This window comes from Homo sapiens, chromosome 1 (genome assembly GCF_000001405.40).
Source record: "Homo sapiens chromosome 1, GRCh38.p14 Primary Assembly".
NCBI classification, from domain to species: Eukaryota; Metazoa; Chordata; class Mammalia; order Primates; family Hominidae; genus Homo; species Homo sapiens.
In genome coordinates this window covers 23,615,447-23,626,185 of record NC_000001.11, presented here as the reverse complement: position 1 = coordinate 23,626,185, position 10,739 = coordinate 23,615,447, and the positions used below count along the sequence as shown (strand labels likewise).

Genomic DNA, 10,739 nt, shown 5'->3' with positions numbered 1-10,739 from the left:
ATCACCATCATCATCATCCCCATCATCATCACCATCACCACCATCATCATCATCCCCAACATCACCATCATCATCATCCCCATCATCATCACCATCACCATCACCATCATCATCATCCCCATCACCATCATCACCATCACCATCAACATCACCATCATCACCATCACCATCATCCCCATCATCACCATCATCATCACCATCACCATCATCCCTATCATTATCATCCTCCTCCTGATCACCATAATTGTCATCTGCATGGAAGCTAGCCTATATTGATTACTCCCTGCTGCCAAGCTGTGTCCCATTTCATCATCAAAGCCTCTTGAGGTGGCCACTCTCATTATTTTCATTTTACAGGTGGTGAAACATCACAGAGCAGGTAAGGTATAAACTGGGAGACCCTCCTCCCACCCACTCTGTGAAAACCTTTACTAGAGATCTCGCATTGGGCCACTAACCCTAAGATAGGAGGCAGAAGGGGGCTCCCCTTGAAACTCGAAAGAAGTAAATTTAAGACCAGTAAAGGGAAGTTTTGCTTCACACAGAGGGGGTACTGGCTAAAAATACTAGTGGCTTCAAGAAGTATTTAGATCAGTTCATAGATAGTTGATCACAAGGCAGTCAGAGTGATCTTTTAAAGACATAAATTAGGCTGAGCATGGTGGCTCACGCCTGTAATTCCAACACTTTGGGAGGCCAAGGCAGGCGGATCACTTGAGGTCAGGAGTTTGAGACCAGCCCAGCCAACATGGCAAAACCCTGCCTCTACTAAAAAAAAAAAAAAAATTTCCTTGTTGTGGTGGTGGGCACCTGTAATCCCAGCTACTCTGGAGGCTGAGGCATGAGAATCACTTGAACCTGGGAGACAGAGGTTGCAGTAAGCCGAGATCACACCACTGCACTCCAGCCTGGGTGACAGAGCAAGACTCTTGTTTCAATAAAATAAAATAAAGACATATATCAGATCACAACACTCTGCTGTCCAAAACCACCCACTGCACTTGGAATAAAATCCAGCCCCTGGCCAGGCGCGGTGGCTCATGCCTGTAATCCCAGCACTTTGGGAGGCCGAGGTGGGCGGATCACGAGGTCAGGAGATTGAGACCATCCTGGTTAACACGGTGAAACTCCATCTCTACTAAAAATACAAAAAAAAAAAAAAATTAGCCAGGCATGGTGGCAGGCGCCTGTAGTCCCAGCTACTCGGGAGGCTGAGGCAGGAGAATGGTGTGTACCTGGGAGGCGGAGCTTGCATTGAGTAGAGATGGCACCATTGCATTTCAGCCTGGGCGACAGAGCTAGACTCCGTCTCAAAAAAAAAAAAAATTCCAGCCCCTTTGCCCTGGTGCTTCCCCACCTTCTTCCTGCTGTCATCTCCGTGTTCACTTGGCTACAGCCACAGCCAAAGCCATGGCCACACTGCTCTCCTTGCAGTTCTTGAAATGTCAAGCTCTTCCTGCCTCAGGGCCTTTGCACCTGCCCTTTTCTCTTCTGGGCCACCTTCTTCTGCTCTTTGCCTGGGTGGCTCTTTCTCCTCCTCCATGCCTTGGCCTAAATGTCAACTCCTACAGGGGGCTTTCCCTGCATGACCCCTCAGCTGAGTCAGTGCCTGGTCTCTGTCTCGTCACCCTCTGTCTCGTCACCTTGTGGTTTTCTTCCTTGCCTTTGTCACAACCACGTTATTTTATTTATTTACTTGTTTTGTGTTTGTCTCTTTCTGTTGGACAGTGAGCTGCATGATGTCAGTGTCATTGTCTGTCTTTTCATTCCTGTGTCCCCAGAATGGTGTGCTGCAGGCCCAGTGCCTGGCATGTACTATTTATTTATTCAGCACTGACTGCACCACCCCACCTCCAAAGCCCTTTATATGAATTAACTCGTTCATCAGTCCTCACATATCAACCCTGTAAGAGAGGACTTTATTATCATCCTTACTTTATAGAAAGGAAACTAAGGCACAGATAGGTTAGAAATTTACCCGAGGTCACAGCTAGTGAGAGGCAGAGATGAAAATCTAGTCAGGGGGGTCCTGAATCTATGCTCTTAACCACAACCATCTACTCCCTCTCCAGTGTTTACTGAGAAAGTCATCAGTAGACATTTGAGAAATGAATAAATGAGCCAGGTGCAGTGGCTCACACCTGTAATCCCAGCACTTTGGGAGGCTGAGGCAGGCAAAGCCCTTGAGGTCAGGAGTTCAAAACCAGCCTGGCTAACATGGTGAAACCCTGACTCTACTAAAAAATATACAAAAATTATCTGGGTGTGGTGGCATGTGCCTGTAGTCTCCGCTACTCGGGAGGCTGAGGCAGGAGAATCATTTGAACCTGGGAGGGAGAGGTTGCAGTGAGCCAAGATTACACTACTGTACTCCAGCCTGGGTGACAGAGTGAGACTCCATCTCAAAAAAAAAAGAGGGAAAGAAAGAAAGAAATGAATGAATGAGAAACAAAGGGGTGGATACTAAGGGCCCTGGAATCAGACATATGTAGGTTTGAGGCTGGCTCTGTCCTCCATGAACTTGGGTCCCAGATTCTAATTCTACTAAAAAATAAAAACAAAAAAAAAACTTCTCCAAGAATGCCTCCAACCAATAAGCAAAGGCTAAACAACCTAATAGAAAAGTGGGCAAAAGGACCGGACAGCCAATTTACAGAAAAAGAAACCAGAATGCAAAATAAACATATGAAAAGATGTTTCGGCCGGGCACGGTGGCTCACACCTGTGATCCCAGCATGAAGCAGGCAGATCACCTGAGGTCAGGAGTTCAAGACCAGCCTGGCCAATATGGTGAAACCTCATCACTACTAAAAATCCAAAAAAAGGCCGGGTGCAGTGGCTCACGCCTGTAATCCCAGCACTTTGGGAAGGCTGAGGCAGGCAGATCACGAGGTCAGGAGATCGAGACCATTCTGGCTAACACGGTGAAACCCCGTCTCTACTAAAAATACAAAAAATTAGCCGGGCATGGTGGCGGGCGCCTGTAGTCCCAGCTACTCGGGAGGCTGAGGCAGGAGAATGGCGTGAACCCGGGAGGTGGAGCTTGCAGTGAGTCGAGATCACGCCACTGCACTCCAGCCTGGGAGGCAGTGAGACTCTGTCTCAAAATAAAAATAAAAATACAAAAAAAATGAGCCAGGCATGGTGACAGGCACCTGTAATCCCAGCTACTCGGGAGGCTGAGGCAGGAGAATTGCTTGAACCCGGGAGGCAGAGGTTGCAGTCAGCTGAGATCGCACCACTGCACTCCAGCCTGAGCAACAAGAGTGAAACTCCGCCTCAAAAAAAAAAAAAAAAAAAAAAGATGTTTCATCTTATTAGAGAGGTGCAAATGGAGACCGTGTGAGGAACAGTGAAGGAATCTGATCATACTCTGTTGGGGATGATGTGGAGGTACTGGAATTCTCATCCACTGTGGCAGAGGAAAGGAAGAATGTTAGTCAATACAAGCACTTCAGAAAATCACTTGGCAGCATCTTGTAAAGCTAATTATGTGCATACCCAATGACCCACAATTACAGTCTGAGGTAGGTAGCTTAGAGGAACTCCTACATGTGTGCACCAAGACATAGGTGTAAGAATGATCATGGCAGCCTTATTGGTGATAGCGAAAAACTGGAAACAATCCATGTGCTCATCAACTGGAGAATGGATAAAGTCACTGAATTCTATTTGACAACGGAGTACTAGACAGCAGGAAAAAGGAATGAAGGCCAGCCAAAAGTGCAAAATCATGTACGTATTTTAGAAACATAGTGATGCATGAAAAAATCAAGCCAAAGAAGAATGCACATGCATTGTGCTGTTTATATAAAGATCAAAAAACAAACGTAATAATGTGTTGCACAGGATCCTCCCCATTTGGTAAAATTATTTTTTTTTTCAAAGCAAGGGCATGGAATGATAACCACAAAATTCAGGATAGTGTTTACTTCTGGAGGAAGGCAGGGAATAGGACTGGGGAGGCACACACAGGTGGCCTCAGTGGTGCTGGTGAAGGCCTAGTTCCTAAGCTGGGGCCATGGGTTCACAGGTGTTTGTCTTCATATGCCAGATATTCAACACACATTTTTTGTAATCATCAAATATTACATAGTAAGTTTTGTTTTTTTTAAAAAAATGTAGTTCCTAGGGTTGTTGTAAAAATTAAATGGGGCCGGGTACGGAGGCTCATGCCTGTTATCCCAGCACTTTGGGAGGCCAAGGTGGGTGGATCACCTGAGGTCAGGAGTTCGAGACCAGCCTGGCCAACATGGTGAAACCTAGGCCCTACTAAAAATACAAAAATTAGCTGGGTGTAGTGGCTCATGCCTATAATCCTAGCTACTTCAGAGGCTGAGGCAGGAGAATTGCTTGAACCCAGGAAGCAGAGGTTGCAGTGAGCTGAGATCATGCCACTGCACTCCAACCTGGGCGACAAGAGCGAAACTCTGTCAAAAAAAAGAAGAATTAAATGGGAGTGCAGACAGATTTGTTTATTCATTCAACAAACATCTGCCATATGCCAGGCATCCTCTGAGATGCCAGGGAAGATACAAAAAAGGAGAAGACTATGCAACTGGGACAAGGTGGCTCAAGATTAGAACAGCTAACAGTACCAGCTTTGGATCCAGAGAGACCTGGGTACAAATCCCAACTCTGCTACTTACTAGCTTTGTGACCTTGGGCAAGCTACCTAACCTCCCTCTTCCTCAGTTTTTTCATCTGTAAGTCAGGAATAATAATCATGTAAATGGTATGAGGCTGAGCTAAAGCTACAAAGATTGACTGGCTTGACATGGTACTGAGCATTGGGTAAGAGCTCAGTAAATGTCACTGAGGCAGGAGAATGGCGTGAACCCAGGAGGCGGAGCTTGCAGTGAGCCAAGATCGCGCCACTGCACTCCAGCCTGGGCGACAGAGTGAGACTCGGTCTCAAAAAAAAAAAAAAAAAAGGCTGTTAGAATCATCCAGGTGAGAGATTATGGAGTCCTGAACTAGGGGACCTGGGGTGCAGAGGGACAGGAAGACTAGGAAGAAGGGGACAGATTCTGGAGCAAAACTGGGGAGATAAAATGGATTGGATTGGAAAGCTGGATGAGGAGCTGAGGAGCAGACCTCACCTGGGACAATATCCAGGTGTGTTGCCCTGAGACAGAGAAACCAGAAGAGGCAGGTGGCAGGGGAGAGTGAGATGATGAGTTTGGAGCTGGTCAAGTTGAGTTGGATGCAGGGGAGTTGCCAAGCAGAGATGTCTAGGAGGTGCTGTGTTTATGAATCAGGGACTCAGGAAGGGCAGAGCTCAGCTTAAAGAAGGTAACTGGGAGTGGGTGAGTTGTCCTGGGAGGATGTAGAGGCTGCGCAGTAGGCCGAGGTGCCCATGACTGCGGAGGCAGGAGGAGGAAGGGCTGCGGGGGCCTGCAAGGGAGCTGCTAGCTAGATAGGAGGAAGACGAAGAAGGGGATCCAAACTTGCCCTGAAGTTGAGGGAGGTGACAGCTTGGAGGAGAAAGGTGAGGTCCACTCCAGAGTCAGGTGTCACAGAAGGGCTGAGAAGAGGTCACTGGATCTAGCCATCAGGGTTGTCCATGCCCTGGGCAGGAACATTTTCCTGGTGTGAGGGGGACTGGACTCTGGAGAAGCTCAACGGTGAAAAGTCTTTCTCAGTGCACCCAGGGTGAATCATGGCCCCTTCCCAGCCGAGGTCCATTCTGCCTGCTTCTTCATCCTGCCCCTCACACTCCATGGATGGTACTCCGTGCCTAGTCCTGGTTGGTCTATACACTCCAGGAGCAATCGCTAGGAATCACGATAAGTGTATTCTCCATTTGAGCCTTGTTTCAGTCAGTCCTGAGAGGTCTGTATTATTTTCACCCCCATTTTACAAATAAGCAGACTGAGGCTCTGCCCCACGTGCCCAAGACTGGGGATAGGTTTCATCCCTAACTTGTGGGTCGCATTTGAGAACAGGAAACCCACATCATCTGAACCTACAACATCCAGACTCGGTGGTTCTCAAACTTCAGCCTGCCTACAAATCACCTGAGATTCCTATGAATTCTGCTCTTGGGCCCCAAACTGCAGGAATTGATCGAGCAGGTGTGAAGCCGTATTTGGAGATGTGTGTTGTTAACCAGCACCCCAGGTGGTTCCCATGCAGGTGACCGAAGTCCACCCTTGAGGAAGCATTAACCCAACCCTGTGCGGCACAGAGGGTATTTCAGGCACTGGATTGGTCTGGACCCCAAGCAACCGGTTTCTGGCGATCAGTTAGGGCTCTGGCTGCAGCTGGGAGCGGATTGGGGCGGAGGGAGGCAGAGGGCGGTAATAAAGAAACAACAGGAAGCTCTGCTTTTATTAGCCCTGGGTAGTAGCAGCTGCAGGTGAGTAATCTGATTTCTGCGGCGTCCTGTTTTCTCCGCTGCCTGGCGGTTCCTCGACACCCACTCACCTGCCGCCAGCCACGGGAGAGAGGGCAGGGGGGAGGGAGGATGGGCGTGGGGCCCCGCCCGCCCAGGTCCCTCGCCCACGCCCACGCGGGCGCACCCGCCGCGCCGACGCCGCCACCGGCTGCGCACCTGCCGCGCTTGCTGCGGGGAAGCCAGGCTCTGCTGTGGCGGCGGCGGCGGCGGCGGCGGCTGGCGGGGAGGAGACGCGGACTCCCACTCGCGGCCCTATCGCTTGCTCCCCGCCTCCCCGCCAGAGCTGCGCCACCAGGCTCTGGGCGCGCTCCCATGATCGGAAGGCTGAGAGCCGTCTCCCAGCTCCACCCTTGACTTCTGAACCTCAGTTGCTGCTTCTGTCAAATGGGAGCACGTCCACCTACCAGTGCTAGACTGGAGAGATCAGGAAAGGGGTGCTAAAGTTACAAACTGTAAAGGGCTGTAGCGATCACCAAGGCATCGGAAGGAAACTGGCCAAGAAAGGCAAGTCTCTTAGCTTTGCTGGGCCTCGGTTTCCTTATCTGTAACATGGGAATGAGTAACCCTTCCTCATAAGCAGATGATGCTCGTGACGTGGATGGAACGCAGAGCAGGACAAGGGCAGTGGCTGCCGTGGGGTCATTATTACTGTTGCTGTTAGCCCAGGCCAGAATCTGCATTCCCTCTTCTTACTTGGATACCCCGGTTTTCCCTGGTTCTCAGCACACGTTTAGGAAATGGGGGGCTTGGATCACAAAAGGATTTTCAGGGTCAGGGGCTTGCCCAAGACTGGGGATTGGCTCCATCCCTAACTCTCTGAACCAAGCTTTCCATCTGTAAAATGGGGTTGACAACAACTTCCCTGAAACCCACAGACATATAAAGACCAATGAGAAACTCAGAAACACCTGGTAAACTGCGAAGTACTACCCACATGCAAAGACTGTAATTATTTCTTCCAGGTGCCTCTTTGCCCTAAAGAGTCAAGGATGAGTCAAGAACCAAATGAGATGAGCCAGGAGGATCCCTGTGAGAAGGGCCGGATGGCATTCCCCTTTACCCATGGAGCTCACTGCAGTGTGCAGCGATGGCCCAAGGGTGGAGAGGAAGGTCAGGCTGGGTCCTGCCCTTGGGGGCTCATGTCCCAGTTAGCCCACGACGCAAAGGCCCAGGTGTGATGGGAGCACAGAAGAGGGGGGAAGCCGACTCTCTGGGCAAGGGGGATCAGGCTGGTACAGGGGGTACTTCCCAGAGGAGTCAGCCTTGACGGGACTCTCTGAAAAATGGTTGTAGCTCAGGTGGGGAGAGGGGCAAGGCACGTGCTGGACAGAGACGGATTCCAGCAGAAAAGTCCAGAGACAAGAAAGGGGGTAGTGTGCTCAGGAAAAGGGCGTGAAACGTGACTGAAATGCAGGATGGGGAGAGGAAATGGATTCAAGATAAAGTCAAATTGGAGCCGGGCATGGTGGTGCACGCCTGTAATCCCAGCTACTTGGGAGGCTGAGGCAGAAGAATCACTTGAACCCCAGAGGCAGAATTTGCAGTGAGCCAAGATCACACCACTGCACTCCAGCCTGGGTGACAGAGTGAGACTCTGTCTCAAAAAAAAAATTTAAAAAAAAAAAAAGATGAAGTCGAATTGGGAATGGCCTCCAGTTACCACCCTAGGAAGCTCAGACTTTATCCTGAGGTTGACAGGGAGCCACGCAGGGTTTGCAGCAGGAGTGACATGGTCAGTTGTGGGTTCTAGAAAGATCTCTGTGGTAGGCTGGGCATGGTGGCTCACACTTGTAATCCCAGCACCTTGGGAGGCCAAGGCAGGTGGATCACTTGAGGTCAGGAATTCAAGACCAGCCTAGCCAACATAGTGAAACCCCGTCTCTACTAAAAATACAAAAATTAGCCAGGTGTGGGGGTACGTGTCTATAGTCCTAGCTACTTGGGAGGCTGAGGCAGGAGAATTGCTTGGACCCGCGAAGCGGAGGTTGCCGTGAGCCGAGATTGCACCACTACACTCCAGCCTGGCCAACAGAGTGAGACTCCATCTCAAAAAAAAAAAAAATCTCCATAATAGGTATGGAGGATGGACAAAGGGGGAGGAAAGGGAGGACAGATTCAAGTTGTTGTGGTGAGCTGAAGGAGGCCTGAACCAAGGTAATGGCAATGGGGTGGGGTGGGGGGGAGTTGGGCAAGAACTTTCTGAAACTGAACAGCAGTAGATCCAGGAGAACAATTAGAGGGAGAGACACAAAATAAAGGTGACAGAATTTCCTGTATCAGGAGCTGAGGTAGATGATGACAGCATTAACCCAGGAAGGTGGCAGGCAGAGCGAGGTCACCTTTGAGGTACCTCCCAGATGTCCATTTCCTCAAGAACTGACTGCACTACACACCCAGATATAGGACTAGATAAGACCCAAGATCATCGAGGGAGAGGCAAGAGAGAGAGAATATTAGGAATCTTTTGGTCGTAAGTGACAGAAACTCAGTTCAAATTAGGTTATGGAAAACAAAACAAAAAGAAAAACGATACTACAAACGTAGTGGCCCCTTTATCTTAGAGTTTCAAGGGTGAGTCAAACTTCGGGCATTGCTGGATCCAGGGTTTCCAGTGATGACATTGGGTTATCTCCCCATCACACCCATCAGTCAGTTCTGTTTGTCTCTGCCTTTCTTTAAGAATGGGGCTTCTCGGCCGGGCATGGTGGCTCAAGCCTGTAATCCCAGCACTTCGTGAGGCTGAGCCAAGCGGATCACTTGAGGTCAGGAGTTCAAGACCAGCCTGGCCAGCATGGTGAAACCCTGACTCTACTAAAAATACAAAAATTAGCCAGGTGTGGTGGTGAGTGCCTATAATCCCAGCTACTTGGGAGGCTGAGGCAGGAGAATTGCTTGAACCCGGGAGGCGGAGGCTGTAGTGAGCCAAGATCGCACCACCACACTCCAGCATGGGTGACAGAGTGAGACTCTGTCTCAAACAAAAAAAAAAAAAAAAAAAGAATGGGCCTTCTCTCCCATGGCAGATAGGCATTCTCCAGTCCCAGGAAAGATGCTCAAATGTTTACATCCTACCAGCTCTCATTTCAGGAGAGAGCCAAGCTTCGCCACTGGCTCCATCGAAAGTTCCAGGGAGGGCTCTGATTGGCTCAGCTTGTATCACATGCCCAGGCCCAAACCAATCACTGTATATCAAGGAAAATGGGACACTGTAATTGGCCTACTTGCCTTCCCAGTGGGTGGGGCCCTGTGAGGGATACCTGACCAGAGCACATGGACAGGAAATGAGAAGATTGGAAAAATATGCCGGGCAGACAAAAGAGGTTCCAGCCCTGCCTCAGTTTACAATGAGGCTTGAGGGCAGAACCCTGGGGAACACTAATATTCAAGGGTTGGCTGGAACTTGGGAAGGAGACTGAGGGGTATGAGAGAGGTTCTGGGAGAAGCAGCGTCTTCGAGGGAGGAGAGAAGTTCTACAAGGAGGTAATGGTCAAAGGCAAATTCTGGAAGGGGTCACTCACACTCACTGTTCTGGGCTCCAACCACCCACCCTCACCTGACATGGAAAGGCTCTGGGACCCGGTTTCACCAACACTGATTATGCCACCTCCCCCAGCAGAGTCTGTTTGCTTATCTGTGAAATGGGGGCAATGACAGAACACCCACCCCATAGGGTGACAGAGAAGGCTGAGTGAGAGACACTGAGAAATGCTTACCCCGGTGCAATGTAGCACCACTCAGGCACCATTCATTCATTTATTCATTTATTCATTCATTCATTCACTCACTCATTGAACAATCTTTAACTGAGTGCCTCCTTTGTATCAGTCCCTATGCCAAACACAGTGGATGTAAAGAAGACACAGGGATCTGAGGATGCGTGGGATACAGACCTGATGGTGGATGGTTATGATACAGGGTGATAAGTGCTGAAGGGACTGGGTTTTGCAAGCCCAGAGAAATTTGGTCCACATGGAGGCCCCAGGGCAGCCCCCTGAGGAGACAACATTTGAGATGACATTTCATGAGCACTCACCATGGGTCAGGCACTGGGTGTGCCAAGCGTTTCCACGTTGTTCCTGTGACGTCGGGGAGGGGATGGGGCCCAGAGAGGGTGGGAGGCTTACTCAGGGTCACCGTGCTCGTAAGTGGGGACACCAGGGCTGGCCCACCTCCACTGGATGAGTTTGCCAGATGGGGAGAGAGGAGAGACAGGATGTCAGGCAGAGGGCAAAAGACAATGTGACCCAATCCTCTAGGATGGGGAGAGGAAGCTGGGATTCCCATAGGGAAAGCCCATATCTGTAGAAGGGTGGGCCAGAGGCAGTAGGACAAGGGCAAG

The 10,739-nt window shown here is 50.0% G+C and overlaps 4 annotated features.

Annotated features, from left to right (window-relative positions):
• Positions 279-398: an enhancer, noted in NCBI's record as "active region_372". NCBI's record gives its function as "activates an Ori minimal core promoter by ATAC-STARR-seq in GM12878 lymphoblastoid cells {active_cell/tissue: GM12878}" and the evidence as "EXISTENCE:reporter gene assay evidence [ECO:0000049][PMID:35858748]".
• Positions 6,173-6,673: an enhancer, noted in NCBI's record as "H3K4me1 hESC enhancer chr1:23946003-23946503 (GRCh37/hg19 assembly coordinates)". NCBI's record gives its function as "activates a minimal SCP1, AML or CMV promoter by ChIP-STARR-seq in naive H9 embryonic stem cells {active_cell/tissue: H9 hESC(naive)}" and the evidence as "EXISTENCE:reporter gene assay evidence [ECO:0000049][PMID:30033119]".
• Positions 6,398-6,667: a silencer, noted in NCBI's record as "silent region_418". NCBI's record gives its function as "represses an Ori minimal core promoter by ATAC-STARR-seq in GM12878 lymphoblastoid cells {active_cell/tissue: GM12878}" and the evidence as "EXISTENCE:reporter gene assay evidence [ECO:0000049][PMID:35858748]".
• Positions 6,674-7,174: an enhancer, noted in NCBI's record as "H3K4me1 hESC enhancer chr1:23945502-23946002 (GRCh37/hg19 assembly coordinates)". NCBI's record gives its function as "activates a minimal SCP1, AML or CMV promoter by ChIP-STARR-seq in naive H9 embryonic stem cells {active_cell/tissue: H9 hESC(naive)}" and the evidence as "EXISTENCE:reporter gene assay evidence [ECO:0000049][PMID:30033119]".